The following is a 20,379-nucleotide window of genomic DNA, read 5'->3' on the forward strand; positions in this document are numbered from 1 at the left end:
GGTACACAACTGCTGCTCCAAGTCAAGTGCTCTTTTGGTAGAGTTCCTTCTGTGTGGAAATTCTGAACTTGTCTCTGCAGCAAGGGGAGGGAACAGTTCCTTTCCACCCAGCACTGATGACCAGGGAGCCCCAGGATCCTCAGATCCCCTGGGCTACTTGGGCCCAGCCTTGCTGCTGTGTGCGCTGAGGCCTCCGACTCCAGGCCTGTCGCCAGGCTTGTTACCTGACACTTCAGATGGGGTGACCAGGCACTGCCTCTGCCAGCAGACTCTTGGCCTCAGGTAACCCAATATTGAAAAGCACATTCCTCCCAGAAGCCCAGTGGATGCCACTCCCCTGTGGGCCCAGCAAGGATGACTCCTCACTGTCCGCTTTCCAGGTGGTTCAGGGCCCTGTCCCTTCCTTCCCACCTCCTGCCAGCAGCACCTGTCTCCAGCCTCCTCTCTGCCTCCTACAGCTTGTGAGCTTTAGAAACACTCCCTTCAACCTCTCGTTCTTCTGCTGAAAAGCACCTAACGCTTTTCCAGTCTTTGCCAACAAACTCTGGATTCCAATACCTTCCATAAACCAGGTAGGACCCAGGAGCAGCTCTACGTATATACGGAATTTTAGCATACAATAAAGGAAGTATGTGAAATCAGTCGTGAAACTGTAAGAATTAAAGAGGAGCCAGGCGCGGTGGCTCACGCCTGTAATCCCAGCACTTTGGGAGGCTGAGGTGGGTGGATCACGAGGTCAGGAGATCGAGACCATCCTGGCTAACACAGTGAAACCCCATCTCCACTACACAAAAAATTAGCCGGGCATGGTCGCGGGCACCTGTAGTCCCAGCTACTCAGGAGGCTGAGGCAGGAGAATGGCATGAATCCGGGAGGCGGAGCTTGCAGTGAGCCAAGATTGCACCACTGCACTCCAGCCTGGGAGACAGAGTGAAACTCTGTCTCAAAAAAGAAAAAAAAAAAAAGGAAAAGAAAAGAAAAGAAAGAAAGAGGAAAGAAACATGAAAGGTGACTCGCCAGTAAGACAGGTTTACTTAAGGGAAAACAAACCTGAGAGGGGCTTCTGGCCAAGTTAGGTCAGAGGCATACTCTCTTACAGACTAAGAGTTTTTAAGGATTCAGAGTGGGAGAGTTTATCAGAGGCTTGGACTGCTTCTGTGTCTCTTTGTTGTGCTTATCTGGGAGGGAGAGTTGTGTGTCTGTTCCCATACATCTTCCTGTAGCTGCAGGCATACCTCCCCCCACCCCCCACTGGAGTCTGCTTTTAGCTTCCCTATCTTAGTGCACCTGAAGGGAAAGGAATGTGCTTATTAAGGCCCAATGTTTTACTGGGACCCATTGTATGCAGGCGAAGTTTGGCAGTTCCAAGAGACGTTCCCCCTACCTCCCTCTGTACCCAAGCTATCTTATCTGTGTTTTACTGCCTGCTCTTTCTGGCTGCTTGTAGTTAGAAGAGAAGTGATTTCCTTGAAATGCATGAGGCTAGAAAGGGAGCTGGAACTTAGAGTGGTGGTGTTTGTCTGAGATGACGGTGCTCCTGCTCTGTCAGAAAGGATGGACCATTCATTATTGGAAAAGCTAGCTTACCATTTGGAATAAAATGAAATTAACTTCACAAAATAAATTCCAGATAGCTTAAATATCTAACCATTAAAATAAAACTATATATAATTTAAAATGAAATGTGAGAGTACATTTATATAATGTTAGGTGGAGGAGGATCTTCCTAAACAAGGTATAAAACCTAGAAGCAAATAGGGAAATATTGTCAGTTTTGAATACACAGAAATTTTAAACTTCGGTAAAGCAAAAGATGCCATAAGCAGAGTTCCACCTCTACAATAGATCTCACGTTTCCCCTCTTAATAAATATTCATGCATAACAAAATCACTTTAAAAAAAAAGATATAGAGGAGAGTCTTGCCCTACCAGGTACTAAGATAAATTACAAAGCCATACTAATACAAACAGTATATTATGGGAACAAAATGGAGGGAACAGAGACAGACCCCTGCTTTTCAAGGGAACTTAATATATGATAAAATTGGCACCACAAGTCAATGGGAAAAGAATAAACTGTTTAATGGGTGACATGGCAAAAGTGACTTACTATATAGAGTAAAAGAAAACAGCATTCCCATTTCATACCATATAAAAAGGCAGGCTGTAAAAAATTAACACAGGGAAAAGCCAGGAAATGCAAATTCATCAGAAATGCAAATAAAAATGAAAATGAGATTTTACTACAGCTACTAAATTGGAAAAAATTGAGAAAGTTGGATAATGGCAAGTGTTGGTGGGAATATGGGAATAGAGTCACCATCGTGCTCTGCTGTGGAAGAGGAGGCTATCAGGTCAGTGAGGACACTCTGTCGTCACTTAGTCAAAGTAAGAATATCAGACAGCAATTCTGATTTGGATATAGAAAGATATGTATGAGGGTCGGGTGTGGTAGCTCATGCCTGTAATTCCAGTACTGTGAGAGGCCGAGGTGGGAGGATCATTTGAGGTCAGGAGTTCGAGACCAGCCTGGCCAACATGGTGAAACTCCATCTCTACTAAAAATACAAAAATTAGCTGGGCGTGGTGGTGGGTGCCTAGAATCCCAGCTACTCAGGAGGCTGAGGTAAAAGAACCGCTTGAACCCAGGAGACAGAGATTGCAGTGAGCTGAGATCACACCACTGCCCTCCAACCTGGGCGACAGAGCAAGACTCTATCTCAAAAAAAAAAAAAGAAAGAAAGAAAGATGTGTATGAGGGCATTCACTCCACATCACTTACAGTATGAGAAATGTGGAACCAGCCCATGTGAGAGCATGGCTGGAAGCATGAATGGGGAGTGAAGGATGTGCAACCTGCTGCAGTCATTCAAAGCAACACACGAGACGCACGCAGAACAACATGATGGGTCTGGGACAATCAGTGTTGACAGGAAGAGGCAGGAAACACTGGTAAATCTATCAAGGACATCTACAACAACTTCAATATGGCTAGGGAATATATTCAAATAAAATATGCATTGAACACAGTAAAATGATTGCCTTTCTGCTGGGAGGGGATGGGGAAAGTTTTGTGGGTATAGGGAAACAGCAATCAATCAAGAAAGCTGGAAGGGGCCCCCCAGGGACCAGTGAGGATATTGGGCCATGTCTTGGAGTCCTCTGCACCTCAGGTGAGATATTTTTTTCCCTCCAGCTTTTTCCCAGATGTTGCTGCCACTGCTCTTGTCTAAGCCATTATCTCCACTTAACTCCTATATTGCCTAACGGATCTCCCTGCTTCTACTTTTGCCTTCCTATAAGCCACTCTCTACAGAAGAGCAAAAGTGATCTCCTGAAAACATAAGCGAGATTACGTGACTGGCCGGATTCAAGCCTGCCCCTCACTTCTGGCGGCTGACTTCAGACCTTCTCTGAAGGTCTGTGTGGTCGGGCTGCTCACGTTTGTCCTACTTTTCCCTTCACACCCAAGCTCCAGCTACACTGGTCCTTCATGCCCAGGCTCCTTCCCATGTTGGGAATTTGGCCTGAAGTCCTTGACCGCACTCTGTTTATAGCTGCTCTATCTCATCCATCACAGCCCTGCTCAAATGCCATTTTCTGTGGCAGCCCTCCTGGGCCACCCTCCACCTCTCATCTACCTACTTGCTTCTGTGTTGCTCTATTAACATAATTCATCATATGCTCACTAATCTTGTTTTCTTATTCTTTTTGCCTTTTTCCACCAGACTGTAACCCTTTTCAGGACATGGACATTGCCTGTCTTGTTCATCAGCTGGAAATACCTAATGCCCATCAGTAAAGGAATGGCTAAATTAGTTACGACACATTCACACACGTTACACAGATGTCAACAGGAGCAAAGTGGCTCTCATTTATTGAATGTTTACAAAGTAGCAGGGACTGGTCTAAGTATTTTATATTGCCTGCCAAGCAGATACTATTATTATCTCATTTTAAAGAAGCAGAATTGAAACACAGAGAGGATAAGAACCTTGCTCAAGGTCACGATGGTAAGTGACAGAGCTGTGACACTAGCTAGTTTGGATTTAACCACTATGATCCCAGGTAGAAAGCTGCTGACCTGGAAAACTGAGATTCTGTACTGCGTTTTTATTTTATTTATTTATTTACTTATTTATTTATTTATTTATTTATTTATTTATTATTTTTTGAGACGGAGTCTCACTCTGTTGCCCAGGCTGGAGTGCAGTGGTGTAATCTCGGCTCACTGCAACCTCCACCTCCTGGCTTCAAGCAATTTTCCTGCCTCAGCCTTCTGAGTAGCTGGGATTACAGGAGTGAGCCACCACACTGGGCTAATTTTTGTATTTTTTGTAGAGAAGGAGTTTCACCATGTGGGCCAGGCTGGTGTCAAACTCCTGACCTCAGGTGATCTGCCCACCTCGGCCTCCCAAAGTGCTGGGATTATAGGCATGAGCCACCGTGCCCAGCCTGTACTCTCTTTTTAAAAGGCTTCTTCTATGTGCCTATGTTTCTTGATAAATAAAATCCAATTTCCTAAAACAAATGTACAATGAAGAATATAATTTTCATGACATAAAGTAAAACAAGCCTTACAGCTTCTCTGGGTAAGATGAGATTAAAAAATCAACCATGGAAGTTAATATGTTGAGATGTCCCAGAACTTCTGGCCAGCAAACTAGATGTGACTCTATTTCATGATGACAAGATAACAAAGTATAAACATTACAAGAAAGGACCTTCACTCCAATGTAGGTAATGTTTGTATTCTTAGTGTCATCAATGTATCTGGCTCATGAATATTTTCTGCCCTGCCTTATCTTTACAAAATATTAAGGGCCAGCTTAGTGCTTTTCTTTTCTTTTCTTTTCTTTTTGAGACAGTCTCGCTCTGTTGCCCAGACTGGAGTGCAGTGGCGCGATCTCAGCTCATTGCAACCTCTGCTTCCCAAGCTCAAGCGTGATTCTCCCATGTTAGCCTCCCGAGTAACTGGGATTACAGGCACACATCACCACGCCTAGCTAATTTTTGTATTTTTTTTGTAGAGACAGGGTTTTGCCATGTTGCCCAGGCCAGTCTCAAACACCTGGGCTCAAGCAATCTGCCCACCTCAGCGTCCCAAAGTACTGGGATTACAAGCATGAGCTACTGTGCCTGGCCCTTTTCATTCTCAAAGCACTTGTATCCACAGCTCAATATTTCTCTTCCTGCCATTAAAACTTGTGGCCTCTGGTTTCAGCTAGATGCCAGGCTTTATTTCCCTGCTCTGTACTCTCTTGCTCATACAGTGAGGTGCCAAAAGCCTTCTGCACACTGAGTTTACTCCTTATCACCCATCACTTTGGTAAGGATGACATCGTCATTGTCTCAAGACTGAGTATGGTATAGCGGTCTAGACTTTAATAGACCTGGGTTTGTACCTTCATTCTGTTACATATAAACTACATGGACTTGGGTAAGTTTATCCCTCTAAGCCTGAGCTTCTCCATCTGTAAAGTGGGAAGCATAACAGTTTCTACCTCATGGGATGGTTGTCCAGAATAAATGAGGTAAAGGACTTAGCACATGACGGGCACGTGGCTGATTCACTATAAGTGATCCACAGTACAGTAACATCAGGGATACAAAGACATCATCGCTGCCCCAAGGACCTCCCAATTTAAGTTGGATGAGGCAGGAAGGTTACACAGATAGTTTCAGGACAATCACGTCATATATGAGAAGAGAGGTAAAAATAAGCTGCTCAGAGAGCTTGGCCACTCAGGGCTGGGGAGATCAGAAGAGGGCCTGGAGGAGGAAGAATTTGAACTTGCCCTTGAAGAAGGAAGGATATGGGCCTGACAAATGAAGAGGAGGGGAGAGGACATTTTTCTCAGGTGAGGTGGCATGAGTAAAGGAATGAAGGTTGGAGAAGGGAATTAAGGAGGTTCATGGATATGGAGTGAAAGAATCACAATCTTTCTTCAGTCAGCAGTGGAACTCATGGCAGGTTTTTGAGCAGAGAGAGTTGAAGAAAGAGAGGAAACCCTGCTCCTACAGTAGAACAAGTGACTCTCAGCACTGTGTGTGGTTAGGGTGAGCTGGAAGGCCTTCATCAGCCATCATGGGGCTCCTGGAGCAAGTGGTAGCCTGCAAAACGCCCCAGATCAATGCCTATCCCTCTTTATCTGCGAGGAACAGCCACCAGGTTTAGTTTTCTCCAAATACACGATAGGCTCCCAGAGCAGGGCACACTTTGCATCAGGCTCTCCAACTATCACTCTGGGCCCCGAGGGGATGGAGCTCAGGAAAGAGAAATCTGCACGTTTGTGGAGGAGGAGGAGAAATTTGGAGCAGGGCCTGTGTGAGAGGGAGATGGTGGGAGGCCAGGTGGCAGCCTTCATTCATTTCTTCACTTTGCCTCTGGCCATCCCCCATTAAGCTAGAACAGAGTCCTGCTCCATCTGTGTTGAGGTGGTCTCACAGCCTTCTGCTTCCCCCTCAGCCCAAGTAACCACTCATTTGCCTCCTGTTGCTGTAGACTAGGTGTGTCTTTTCTGGAATTTCACATAAATGGAATCATGCAGTGTTTGCTCTTTTGTGTGTGGCCCCTTTCATTTAGCATAAGGCTTTTGAGATTGGTCCAGGTTTTTGTGTGTAACAAGAGTTTACTTTTTCATTGCTGTGTAGCATTCCATTGTAAAATTATTACAATTTGTTTATCCATTCATCAGTTGAAGGGCAAAATTTTTTCTTTTCTTTCTTCTTTTTGAGACAGAGTGTTGTTCTGTTACCCAGGCTGGAGTACAGTGGCACAATCAGGGCTCACTGCAGCCTTGACCTCCCTGGCTCCAGTGATCCTCTCACTTCAGCCTCCTGAGTAGCTGGGACCACAGGCATTTGCCACCATGCCCAGCTAATTAAAAAAAAATTTGGTAGAGTCGGGGTCTCACTATGTTGCCCACGCTGGTCTTGAACTTCTGGGCTCAAGAAATCCACCCGCCTCTTCTTCCCAAAGTGCTGGGATTACAGGTATGAGCCACCGCACACAGTCACAAAGTTCCTTCCCTTCATGCTTAGCAATCATAAATAAAGCTGCTGTAAACATTTGCACACAGGTTTCTGCATAAATATACATTTTCATTTCTCTTGGCTAAATCCCCAGACGTGAAATGGCTGGGTCTGATTGATGTTTTTACAGAGTGATGGCATGTCTGGGCTCGTCTAAAAATCCCAGCCTCCTGCACAGAGCCTCCTCTCTTTGGCACTTTCCCATTTTTCCTCCTCTCATTTTCCTCTCTTCCTCTCCCTTCATCCTCCTCTTTCTCCCATAGGCTTCCCTTTTCCCTCCTCCATCCCACAGTCCTCTCCTGCCAAGCTCCTGGGTTCTCCCACAGAGGGGGTATTGTAACAGGCAGCCCTCACGTTTTCTTGGTCCAAGGCCAGCTGACCAAGCACCCACAACTAGACTCTGCCAAGCTTCTTGACATCAGCTCCTGAGCCAGGGCACCTCTCGGAGACTCCCAGACTTCACAGGGAGAGGGAAGGGGAGGTCTTCTAGCAAGTTCAGCCCTGCAGTAATTGAGCAAGGCTGGGTTTCTCCTAGTTCCACTGTCTTAAGAACTGTGTCAGATGGTTCTAGTCTACCTGATATCATTTGGATGTTTGTCTCCTCCAAATCTCATGTTGAAATGTGATCCCCAATGTTGGAAGTGGAGCCTAGTGGGAAGTATTTGGGTCATGGGGATGGATTTCTCATGAATGGCTTGGTCCTTCTGGTGGTAATGAGTGAGTTCTCGCTCTGAGTTCATGCAAGATCTAGTTGTTAAAAAAGAGTTGACCTCCCAACACCTCCTTGCTTCCCCTCTTGCCACCCAACATGCTTGCTCCCTGTCAGCCTTCTGCCACGAGTAAAAGCTTCCTGAGGGCTCACCAGAAGCCAAGCAGATGCTGGTGTCATGCTTGTATCGCCTGCAGAACCTCTTTTCTTTGTAAATTACCTAGTCTCAGATATTCCTTTATACAATGCAAAATGGACTAATATACTACTCCATTCACTGGTGCTCTATGTTTTGACTGAATTGAGTTCCAGCCAAGTTCTAACAGAGAAAAATAATTCCCCATGGGCACCATTCAGTTCAAACCCCGGAGTCAAGGGTCCCTGCCCACCACCCCACAGGGAAGGGGAGGCAGAAGGGGCAGTGTCAGGCCTGGGAGGGGCATGAGCAGGAGATGCCTTCAGATCACGTCCTGGGTTTGACAAGGACAGCACAGCTGAGGAAGGCCTTGGCTCCCTACTGACTTTAGGTCAATGTCCATTTGCATTTAGGAAGGCAGTGTGGGGGTGGACAGAACACCGGGTGGGGAGACTTCTGTATATTTTCACCATCTCAGGTGAGTCTGAGAGGCAGCCGTGGTGTGGACCATCCAACCAAGTGGCCTTAGAGGCCTTTCTCACTGCTGATTTCTGGGGCCTGGCTTGTTCCTTGCTGCCTGGTGAGGCTATGCCATGCTTGGGCACAGAGAAGAGAATAAGGTGAGAGATTTGTGGGGTAAGACACAGACTAAAAATTGTGTTTGATGTCAGAAAGGAGGAACACAGCCAGGAAAGAGCTTTAAGTAACTAAAAATAGGCTGATATTTAGTGAGGGGACCGAGATTTGGGTTACGTGAAAACAGAATTTGTGGCCTGTTCTTGGCAGGATCCAGGGCAGGGGACTCCCCCACCCCTCCCCACTGCATGTGTGTGTGAGTGTGTGAGAAGTGTGTGAGTGTGAGAACAGGTATGTATGTGAGTATGCTGTGAGCATGTATGAGTGGTATGTTGTGTAAGTGTGCGAGTGTGTGTTGTATGAGTGTGCTGTGTGAATATATTGTGTGAGTGTGTGTGTTGTGTGAGAGTACTTGGGAGCGGACGCTTATGTGTTCTTGCCTTGACCTTTAGGAGGAAGAAGGCTCCTGAGCTCTTGCTGGAGAATAAAGTCCAGTTGCACCGAGATGGATTAAAGTCAGCAGCCCTGTGGTGCTGGGCCTGTGGTCCTGGAGCCTGGTTTCTGGCTGTCCCGATGAGCCTTGGCCCTGCTTGCCCTGCCAGACAAGAATGAATGCAAGTCTTGTAGCCAGTAAAGGCAAAATACCCTGGGGATTTTTTCAGTGCCACACTGTTGGTTTTAAGGTTTGAGTTAAAGAATTTTCACTGAGGAAACAGAGGAGTGGCTGAGCTGGCCCTTATGACACTGGGAGGGCTTCTGGGAGGGGCCCTGCCCAGCCTCTGCACTCTGTCTGGTTGGTGACTAGTGGGCTCCAGGGCCAGCATGGTGAGATGCCAGGCACCTGGAGGAGGCATTGGGGCAAAGGACATCCTGGGTGGGTGGGGTGGGAGGGGCAGGTCCTTTGGGGTGACTCTGCAGTCCTGGTTTCTGTCATCTGGGCAGCACCTGGGTGAGGCTGAACACATGGATGATCAAGCACCAAAGGCAGAAGAGGGTCCTCTGGTCTGTGAGGAGCAGGAGAGGGACAAGAGCCACCACCTGGCACCCTCTCCCTGCTGCCGCCCCGCAGCCTGTGAAAGCAGCCCCTGGCCCTGGGTGGAGTGGGCCCTGGTGGGGATGGGCTCAAGCCTCCTGTCCTGTGTAGGGGAGCTGGCAGCATGGCAGAGACCCCTTGCCAAGGTGCAAATGACACTTCACCTCTCTCAACTGCTATTTCCCTCTGTGCACATGGATGTGTAGGGATTGGGTGGAGTGGGAGAGAGGAGTTCAAGTCCTTTTTCCGGTGATGTAGAAATTCAGAGGGAAGGACTCTGGGCTCCAAGAGCACAGACCTGACCCCCTGTAGTATCTGCCTCGTAGCCCTCAGCAACTGTCTGCTGCAAACAGTAACCAAAGACTCATTTGAAAGTAACCAAACATCCTGGTTTGTCCAAGACTAAAGGGTTTCCTGGGACTCAAGACTTTTAGTGCTAAAACTGGAAAGTTCCAGGCAAACTGGGATGATCAGATCACTTATTTCTAATTTCCCTTGAAAGTATTTTTGGAAGTAGAGACATACCTGGTATGCCAGACCCGGAGTACTCCTAGGCTTTGTAATTATTTGAGGCAAAATAATTTGATTACTTTCTGATTTTATTTTGGAGAATATGAAGAAAATCTGTATGTGCTGATTCTGAGTACATAAGCCAGTCCTGAGGTTAACGGTTGACTGTGTCTGTATGTGGGATGCTGGTATAGTGGACACATGAACCTAGAGTCCCTTTCCCCTTCCTCTGATAAGAAAGCACCGTTTTCCTTTAGGATCTTATGGAGCTGTCATCAGGGAATCATCCTCCTTTCTCAAAGGTGGGCCCCAACCAGTCTGGCCAGTCTCATTCTCATCCTCTTAGACTCAGTGATTGGTTCAGGAACAATTAAATCTCCTCCTCTGCCCCCTCCTCTTCTACGTCCTCTTTTTAAGGATTATATGAATATTGAGAAAGAGAGAGAAGAAGAGGTCAGCTTTGAGTTATTGGTGGCCATCTTTGTCACCATGTGGAAGGACTCAGCCTTAAAAAGTTGAGAGAAGGAGAAAAAAAGACAAAATCCTGAGGACATGATCTGGACTGCTAGATCCAGCTATGCCTGAAGCCTATATGCCCCTTGGACTTCCCAGTTACATGAGACAATAAAGGCTTTTTATTTGCTTAAGCGTATTTGAAATCAGCTTTAGTTACTCTGCCACTTGCGCCTGAACAGAACTCCACACAGACTCCTGATGTGCCTGGCTGCCACATCTGCAGGAGGGCTGTACTCTGGGCTCTGTGCAGGGGATCACAGGGGTGATGCCTTTCACTGTCCCCTGAACTGAGTCCCTTATGCCTTTAAATTAGGGCATATGCTCCTCCAGGGCACATCTACGGTGGGAGGCACATGTCTGAACATTTGCCTTCAGGAGCCCTCTTCTCCGAATCGTGGGGGAAGAGATCTTCCAAGTTCCTTCTCTCATCTTCCTGTTCTTCTCGCCTCATTTCCAGGATTTGCTCTGATCTCTCATTTGTCCTTGACTGGAAGTCAACACTGTCATATGTCTACCCACCACTCACATACCTTACTGCCTTGGTGACATCCCCTGCATAGGGAAAGCCTCTCCCCATCCTGGGAGGAGCAACCAGCACCTGAAACATTACATTTCAACACCTGTAAACTGGGACAGATGAAAAGCGTTGGTTATTGTCCATGCCTAGGGGCTAGAGAGTGGGGACTCACCCTCGTTCTCCTGCTGGGAATGGGAGAGGCAACCATGCTTTCCCAGCGAGTAAGGCTCAGTTGAAGGAAGGGAAAGGCAGGCAGGATGGGGCAGGCCCAGGGGATGTTGCAAAACAGCCACAGGAAATGGAAATCATGTCATATGCAAATCAGGATAAGAATTTGCAGATGGGCTCGGCACTTGGGCTTCAGGTTAATTTTTTAACCAAAGGTTAAACACTATCCCTAGGAAGAGAGAGAGGGGAAGTGATTGGGTAAGGAGCACCCTGGGGCCTTTGACTCTGTCACCAGTGTGATTTTTTAAGGCTGGGCAGTGGAGTCATAGGTATCCATTTTATTATTCTCTATACATTTTGTATATCGTATATATTGCTTTATACTTTTTTAAAGCAACCTGAATTCATGTCTATCACTCCCAGGCATTTCTTTACTCTTTCTCTACCTATGTGTGTGTTCCTGAGCTATACTTGGAATTATTTCACGTTTTTAAACTTTATATAAGCTAGGTAACATACAAATATCCATTCTGCTATAAACATGTTTTTTTTCTCTACTTTACATTAGGCTTGTAAGATTCACCTATATTGGTTAACAATAGATATGGTTCATTCATTTTCACAGTTGTGACCTATTCCACAACTTATGATTTTGTGGGTTAGACATTTAAGCTGTTCCTAATGATGGCAGCGGCGGACCATCTGGAGCGGCCGCTGCCATCACCGGCCGCAGCAGGGAGGGTGCGGGGAGGAGGCCGACAGCCTCCTCTGCAGCCCACCGCCCTGGGGGCCGCGGCGATGGGGCTGGGCCAGGTCGCCCGCTGGCAGAGGAGCAGCGCAGCTGGGGAGCAGCGCGACTGGGGAGAGCAGGGCCCTGAAGTGGAACTGGGCCCAGAGCGGTGCTGCTCTTGCACTGGGAGCAGGAGCCCCAGGAGGGGGAACTGGGGATGCGCTTCTGGGGCCCGGGTCTGAAAGTGGGAGCGGTGCCGCTTTGGGGACCAGCCAGCGGGGCAGCCATTGCTGCCATCGCCGAGGATGCCGGGTTCCTGTGCCTCGGGTGGAGGCTCTGCTCGGCGCTGCTCAGGGCCGCGTCCCCAGGTCCACCCTGCATCTGGGTGACCGCCTAGCCTGACACTCCCAAAGGCTGGGCCAGGGCCTGCCATCCACACCACCCTGGACCGCCCCTGGTTGCCAGGGCAACAGAAGGGAGCTCATAGCCGTGTCGCCCCTGCCCTGGACACTGGCCGGGGCCCAGCCAGGACCTGGAGCCCCTGCCCCAGGCTGCGAAGGAGGGGCGGATGGAGCTGCATGCTCCGCGGAGCTGGCGGGAGCCGGGAGCCGGGGAGCAGGCAACAGCCCAGGTTGGGGCTGTGGGCCTGGGCCTCTGTGTGCTCTTGGGGGCCCTGGGAGTCCCCCCGACCCCCCGGCCTTGCAGGCTTGGAAGTGCCTGCTCCCGTTGCCTGGCTTCTCCCCGCTGCCGGCGCCCACTCCGATCTCAGAGCACCGTGGGGCCGAGTCCAGGTGCTGTTGCAGCCTGGCCGAGGGTGCACATATTTGGGGCAGTGCTGGTATGCCAGCCCCCTGCCGCTTCAGCCCCCTCCAGACTTTGGGTGCCAACGAGCATGGGGTGGGGGGTGAGGCCAAGGTGGGGGACTGAGGGCAGCTCCGTGCTGGCCTGTAGGTGCCCCTTGGCACCAGCAGCCTGGGCACCATAGGTGGCAGCAGAAGGCAGACAAGCTCCTGGGTAGAAGGGGGTGGGTCCCTGGTGAGGCCCCACCTTCAGGCCAGGCTGCCAGTCCTGTAGATCAGAATGGGAACTTGTGGTACCTTTTCCAGGCTCACCCATGGCTGCCCACGGACCAATGTGCGCGCACTTCCTCCCCTCGAAGCCCTGGGCTCAGCCAGAGCAGAGCGGTCGTCAGGATGACCAGCTGCTGAGAGGAGCTTCCCACTCCAGGGCCTCCTCTCTGCTAGGAGTTGAACACTAGTAGGGACGCCCTGGCTGGGAAAAGAGCTACCTACTGCGGGTCTCCTCTGAGCTGTTCTATTGCTGGATAAATCTCCTCATCTTCTTGCTCACCTCCCACTTGTCTGTGTACCTTGTTCTTCCTGGTCACAGGACAAGAACTTGGTACCTGTCTAATGGCGGGTCTAAAAGATCTATAACACAAACAGGGCTGAAACATGCCCCTTGCTCACTTCGTTGTGGGTGAAGAGAAGGAGAGAAGAGCTGCGGCCCTTCAGGGAACCCAAACCTGGGAGCTCATGGAGCCACATCTGTGACTCCCTCTTCGGGGCCCTGTGGTTCCCGGCATCTCCAAGCTTCTGGGCACCACCACATTCCCTGGAGCCAGCTGTGGAAGCTGCTTGCGGTGCACCTGGAGCTGCCCACCTCACTGCGGCAGCTGGCATGTAGCCAGACCCCACGTTTGCTCACACACCCATTGCTGCTCTATGCAGTCTCCCTTGGCAGGGATCCAGGCTGGTAGTGTGAGCTGAGTGCAGCCTGCCAGGCTGAGTGGGCAGAACGAACCCAGCGGACCCAAGCAAAACTTGGGCAAAGGTGCCAATAGCCACAGGTTTCTGGCCAGAAAAGTGACACCCCAAAGATCCCATAACATTAAGTTTTGCTGTTACTGTATTTCATCAGTTCCAAGGTACACATTTTTTCCCATTTTAAAATCTGTGAAATAAGAGATACTTTTTAAAAACTTATAATGTGTAATATTCTGATGTGTAATATCTAAGGTATTGGTATATCTTAGATCAGTGGTCCCCAACGTTTTGGCACCAGGGACTGGTTTTGTAGAAGACAATTTTTCCATGGATGGTGGGGGCAGGGATGATTCAAGTGCTTTACATTTATTGTGCACTTTATTTCTATTATTATTACACTGTAATATATAATAAAATAATTATACAACTCACCATAATGTAGAATCAGTGGGAGCCCTGAACTTGTTTTCCTGCAACTAAATGGTCCCATTTGGGGGTGATGGGAGACAGTGACAGATCATCAGGCATTAGATTCTCACAAGGAGCGTGCAACCTAGATCCCTTGCATAGGCAGTTCAGAATAGTGTTTGCACTCCTATGAGGATCTAACGGCATTGCTGATCTGACAGGAGGCAGAGCTCAGGCGCTAATGTTCACCAGCCTGCTGCTCACCTCCTGCTGTGTGGCCCAGTTCCTAGCAGGCCACAGACCAGTACGTACCGTGAGCTTTCTTAGAATTGACTATGGTAAGGGAGAATAAGAGGCTTGAAAGCAGTGTGCGGGCAGGGAGTACAATGCTACTGTGCACTTTCTTGTACATGTCATGTTTCTTTAGTGTCTATATTCCTAGGAGTATAAATTGCTGGGTTATGAGGGATATTATCACCAATTTTACTAGATATTACCAAAGTGTTCTCCAAAGTAATTGTTACTGATTCACACTTCCAATACTATGTATGAGAATTCCCATTGGGCTATACGATGGGGTATCATCTGACTTTTTGAGTTTTGCTAATCCAGTGGATATAAAATGGTATCTCATTGTGGTTTTCATAGGCATTTTCCTTATTATTAGGGATCGTGGGCATCTTTTCAAGATCTTTTACTTTCACTAATCCATGTTCTTGGGACTGACTTTTCATTGACTCCACCCACTTCCCCCACCCACTGCCTTCAAGCCTCTTACCCTAGTCAAATCTAAGCACCATCAACACTTATGAATATACAGCAGTAGTTATCCAAAGCTACAAGACTATTTATGCCCAAGTAATTACACTCTTGGAAACTCACACCGAGGAATACAAATGCTATCTGCTCAAAAATTTCATTTAAAATTTTTGATGGTGAAGAATTGAAAATCACATAATATGCTCAATATTGGTAGAAATATTAGTAAATAATTGCATATTTCTATGACTGAATTCTATGCAGTCTTGGAAAGAGAACTATAGAGAGAATGTACCAATATGGAAAAATACTTTTGTTAATGGTGTGATACTGGTATACTGATTAGCAGACTGATCAACAGAATAGAATGAATATCTCCAAATAGAACCAAGTATACATATATACATACATATGTATGTGTACGTATATATATATATGAATACTTGAATTTGCATATGTATGTATATACACATATACTTGGATTTAGGATATAAGAAGACTGGATTATAAAGATAAATAAGTAAAAAATATTAATTTTTCTATAAAAATCATAGCCACAGAAGAAAACAAGATCACATGCAAAATAGCAATGAAAAATAAAATATATAAACCTAAGGAGAAATAAATAAGAAATTCACAGACACTATGTAGAAAGCTATAAAACTCTCCTAAGAGACATAAAACAGCTTGAAAAATTAACATACATACCTTGTTCTTAAATGGGAAAATAAAATGATCAATTCTTCCTAAATTGATCTATTTATTTAGTACAATAACCAATTAAATTTCCAACCAGAAGTTTTGGGGGAACTTAACCAAAAGTTGTAAAATGTATGCAGAAAAATGAAAATGAAAAAATGTTCAGTGAATTTGTAAAACAGATAAAATTAAGGAGAGAAAACTAATTCTATCAATAAATGTACTTTAAAGCCACAGTATTTGGCCAGTTGTGGTGGCTTCTGTCTGTAATCCCAGCACTTTGGGAGGCCGAGGTGGAGGATTGCTTGAGGCCAGGAGTTCAAGACCAGTTTGGGTAACATAGTGAGACCCCCTCCATCATTCTACAAAACTTTAAAACACACACACACACGCACACACACACACCTACACACACACTACAGTATTTAAGGCCTAGAGCATCCAGAGACAAATCCAAGTGCATACAGGATAATTACATGTACAAATGACAACATTGCAAATTAACAGGGGAAGGACAGGTTATTTGATAAATTATGTTGAAAAAATAAGTTTTCTGAAAAAAATAATCATTTTGTCATTTGGGGAAAAATAAGCTGGTTCCATATCTCCTTGTATTAAAATAAATTCCAGATGTACTGGTATTGTTTTATCATTATTAGTGAGAAAGCAAGATATGAAATTGAGATGCAATAAAGGAAAATGAATGGATAATTCTGACTGTACAGTTTTCAGATATTAGGTTTCTCTATGTCAAAACACGTACACAATAATACAAGACTAATTTGTAAAAATGTTTACTAAACTTATGATGAAGGGTTAATTTTCCCAATAAACTAAAATCTCTTTCACATAAATACTGAAATGCAAACAACATAAAAACTGACAAAAGATATAAACAGGCAATTAATGGTAGTAATGTGTATGTCCGCAGTTCCAGAACTTCGCTGAACATTGGAATCATATGGAGATCTTTAAAAATAGTATTGTTGCCTGGCTCTCAGATACTCTGATGTAATTGGTATGGTGTATAACTTGGGCACTGGAATTTTTAGAAGCTTCTCTGATGATTCTAAAGTTCAAGAAAGGTTGGGAATCAATGGACTATGCAATAAGTCTATATAAAAGATTATTGCTAATAATTTAAAGACTGTAAATTAAAACAAAAAAGAGATGCCACGTTTCATTTATCAGATTGGCAAGGATAAAAAATTGATAAGACGTAGTGTTGGTGAGGGTGTGAGGAAGAGTCAGTAAAATGTTGGTGATAGGATGTAGATTAGAGCAAAGTTTTTGGAGGGCAATTTGGTAATCTTATGAATATGCAAACCTTGCACTGCCTTTGACTCAGCAACTGTATTTCTAGGAATTTATTTTACACAAACACTTGCTCAAATCCTCAAAGATATTTGATTTGGTATTATTCCCATAATATTTTAATTTTTGTTGTTGTTATTTGCCTGTTTGGTTTAATGAGGGATAGGGCTTAGAAGTGGTTGATGGGTAAAAGGAAAAAAAAAGTTGTTGATGAATGGAAATAGCAGTGCCCCCATTCCACTCGCACCCACCGATGTATCCATGGCATCTAGGCGTTGGATACTGGTGAGTGGAGCTGGGCAGCATCCTCCCTTACGAATCCAGTTGCATCCATAAATTTACATAGGAGCAGACGAGCCTCCTGGGGTTGGGGAAAGAGGTTGGGACTCGGACTCCTCATTGAGGATTCAAGTTATTGCAGTGTATATGATGAACTAAAGAGACCTCCCCAGGAGACCCATTGAAGTCAGATGACAAGGAAGGACACTGGGAGTTCCAGAGAGGAAATATGCCCTAAAGAAGAGGGAAGTTTAGACCAGTGTCCTGTACTGAGTATTGGGGTTTACCTTATCAGAACCACTCTTTCATGCTTATTCACTTTGCTACCGTGGGTCTCTTTGAGGGGAACTGGCTCTGTGTGTGTGTGTGGAGGGACAGAGCTGCATCATTATCAACAGACACTTGGTCACCAGGTCCCTTTGCTGAGGGACCCTCCTCATTGCTCCTGACAGGGCAGATGCATTCTTTAGCCTGGGCAAATCAGCAGAGAGGCTTTTGTAAAGTTTCAAGTCAGCAGACAAATGATGGGGGTCTGTCTCATGGACGGGGACAATGGCCATGCGAATTCTCTGGGCTATTTGGAGGGAAATCTTGACTTCTCTGCCAACTTGACAAGGAGTGGAGAGGAATCATTGTAATTTGCATATCAATGACATTTTCTAGGCTTTTGGGTGTTCATAGCACACTCCAAATGGTCATAGCATCAGAAATTGGAAACAACCTAGATGATATGATGTTATGTTATGTAGCCATTTTCAAAAATCTGGTTTTTAATAGCAGAGAAAAATTAATCACTATTCACTGATATGTAGAAATGACAAGTTTTACAATACGAGCTTAATTTTACATATATCAATATACGTATATATAAAGAAAATTTATTTCTAAATATATGTGCCTATAAAAAAGACTGGAAGGAAGTATATTAAGGGTTCAGGAAGTTATTTCTGGATGATGTTATTGGCAATGTTTATTTTCTCTATTACATTTTTCAAATTTTGTAATGTCTATACTGAATACATATATTATTTATAATCAGAAGAACAATTTTGTAAAAAGAACATTATTATAAATAAAGTTGCTCTTTAAATAAAGCAAAAAATGCATTTAGAGACAGGGAAAGAAAGCTAACATTTATTTCATGCCTACCATGTCCCAGGCCACCATACCAGATATTTATATATGTCAGCTCTGTTAAAAGTATCTTCTCCCATGGCCATCCTCTGGGAGTAGCAGGAGGTGTAGCTTGAGGTGGGGTCAGGCAAACCCACCCAGGGAAGGAATTTTTTCTCAAGAGCTGGGAAGCCCTTTCTTCCTTCTACTAAGCAGCTGGCCATCTGCCCACCAACCAGATCCTTCTCTTTGCCTTGGGTGAAACATCCACTCATTGGGCAAGGAAGGGGGCAGAGCCGTGGCTCACTGAAAATGTGACTGAAGCAGATACTGGAGCCCAGGCCAGCAGGGGCTTGAAACTATAGAGCAAGGAAGGCAACTTCAGGTATGAAAAGGGCAGTCAAGCACCAGAAAGGGTTAGACTGATATTGTGCCTGACCTGATGGTGGAAATAGGGCCTTTCTGAGTGGGTAGATTTGACCTTGGTGTAAGAAAGAACTTAGTCACTTGGAAGGTAATAAGCTTCCATTCTTAGAATTATGCAAGGGGTTCCTGCCTGGAAGGTGCAGAGGAGACTCCTACACTGGGCAAGCGGGGGTGGCTCTGGAAACCTAATGATCTGTTCCAGTTTTGAGAGTCTGTTACTCTCCATCCCACCATGCCCCAGATTCAGAAGACAGCTTGCTCACCCTGTCAGCTGCTGGAAGCATGTGGGAGAGGCCTTCCGGAGGCCAGGCCCACCTTTGTTGCCTAAGAGGTAGGTGGCTCTGACGGTGGGAACTTTACTAGGCAGGGAGGAGGGAACAGGGAAGGGCCAGCCTGGCCTAGTGAGGGAAATATGTGAGGAAGGTGGGCCTGTGGGCACCCGTAGGTCAGGACCTGTGGGTGGCCATCCACTCGGCCTTTCTCAGAACCAGCCCTGAAACTCATCTCGTGGGGCAAGTCTGATGCGAACATGGAGTCTCTTGTCCTGGGTGGCTCTCACCTGCTAATAGACACATCCTCACAAATGGTAGGTATTTAGGGAGCATGGTGATGGAGGATACAAAAAAAAAAAAAAAAAAAACAACCACAAACCAAAGAGGCCAGTGACAAAAAGCTTACAACAACAACAGAAGTTCACAGGCAAGACCCATAAGACAAATGTAGAGGAAAGAGCAGGAGATCTAGAGTTAGAGAGACCCGAGTGCGTATCTTGGCTCTGGCACTTACTGGGGCAGCAGTCAGCAATTACTTTATCTCTCTGAAACTCACTGTTCACTTTCCTCATCTGTAAAATGGAGTTAATAGTACTGATTTCACAGGATTGTTGTAAAGATTATATATTATATATACATAAACACCGTACATATACATCTGGCACACAGAATCTGGCATGTCATAAACCTTAATAAATTGTCATGGTTACTGTTATTCTTTTTGCTACAGGACAAATAAATTGGAAAGAACTAACCGTAAGTGTACTTGGACCGCAAAGAACCTCAAGGTTGGCATGGGCTGGAGAAGTCAGTGAAAGCTTTGTTCACTGATGACAGAGACATTTGAGCACCTCCTAAATGCTAGGCACTGTGCTACAGGTTCCGAGTATCAAAATCAACATGGTGCCTGCTCTTGGGAAGCTTCTAGTGAAGTAGCTTTGAAAGAAAATAATTTCTAACCATCAACTGCGATAAGAATCAGGAAGGAAAGTAACAGGGTGCTACGAAAGACGGGAACGGATTCTGATTTGGGGAGACGTCAGGGATGACCTCCCAGAGGAAGCAGCCTTGAAGCTGAAACCTGTAGGAAAATCGGGGTTAGCTACATGCGGGCTGTGGGGAGAGTCCCCCAGGCTGAAGGTACAGCAGTGCAAGGCGTTGAGGAGTGGAAAAGGCTGGCGTGTTCAGAAACTGAGCACCTGTGTCTGGGGCACGGTGAGGAAGGAGTGATGAGGTCAGAGAGGCCTTGGAAGCCATGGTCAAGATTTGGGATTTTATCTTAAGAAACTGGATGCCACCGAAGGGTATTAAGCAAGGACAAAAAACCAAACACCGCATGTTCTCACTCACAGGTGAGAACTGAACAATGAGAACACTTGGACACAGGGTGGGGAACATCACACACTGGGGCCT

General features: G+C 46.0%; 1 protein-coding gene and 1 long non-coding RNA gene across 2 annotated transcripts in view, besides 1 other annotated feature; one reads left to right on the forward strand and one right to left on the reverse strand.

Annotated features, from left to right (window-relative positions):
- The window catches only part of PLA2G4E (phospholipase A2 group IVE), a 69,122-nt gene that overhangs the window by 42,669 nt on the left and 6,074 nt on the right, over window positions 1-20,379 (reverse strand). The window lies entirely within an intron of this gene.
- Window positions 9,212-9,271: a silencer, noted in NCBI's record as "silent region_6372". NCBI's record gives its function as "represses an Ori minimal core promoter by ATAC-STARR-seq in GM12878 lymphoblastoid cells {active_cell/tissue: GM12878}" and the evidence as "EXISTENCE:reporter gene assay evidence [ECO:0000049][PMID:35858748]".
- On the forward strand, window positions 18,577-20,340 carry LOC105370793 (uncharacterized). The gene is made up of 3 exons (XR_932177.1): window positions 18,577-18,653; window positions 18,936-19,025; window positions 19,697-20,340. It is a non-coding gene; the product is annotated as an uncharacterized LOC105370793 (long non-coding RNA).

Source organism: Homo sapiens, chromosome 15 (genome assembly GCF_000001405.40).
Source record: "Homo sapiens chromosome 15, GRCh38.p14 Primary Assembly".
Lineage (NCBI taxonomy): Eukaryota > Metazoa > Chordata > Mammalia > Primates > Hominidae > Homo > Homo sapiens.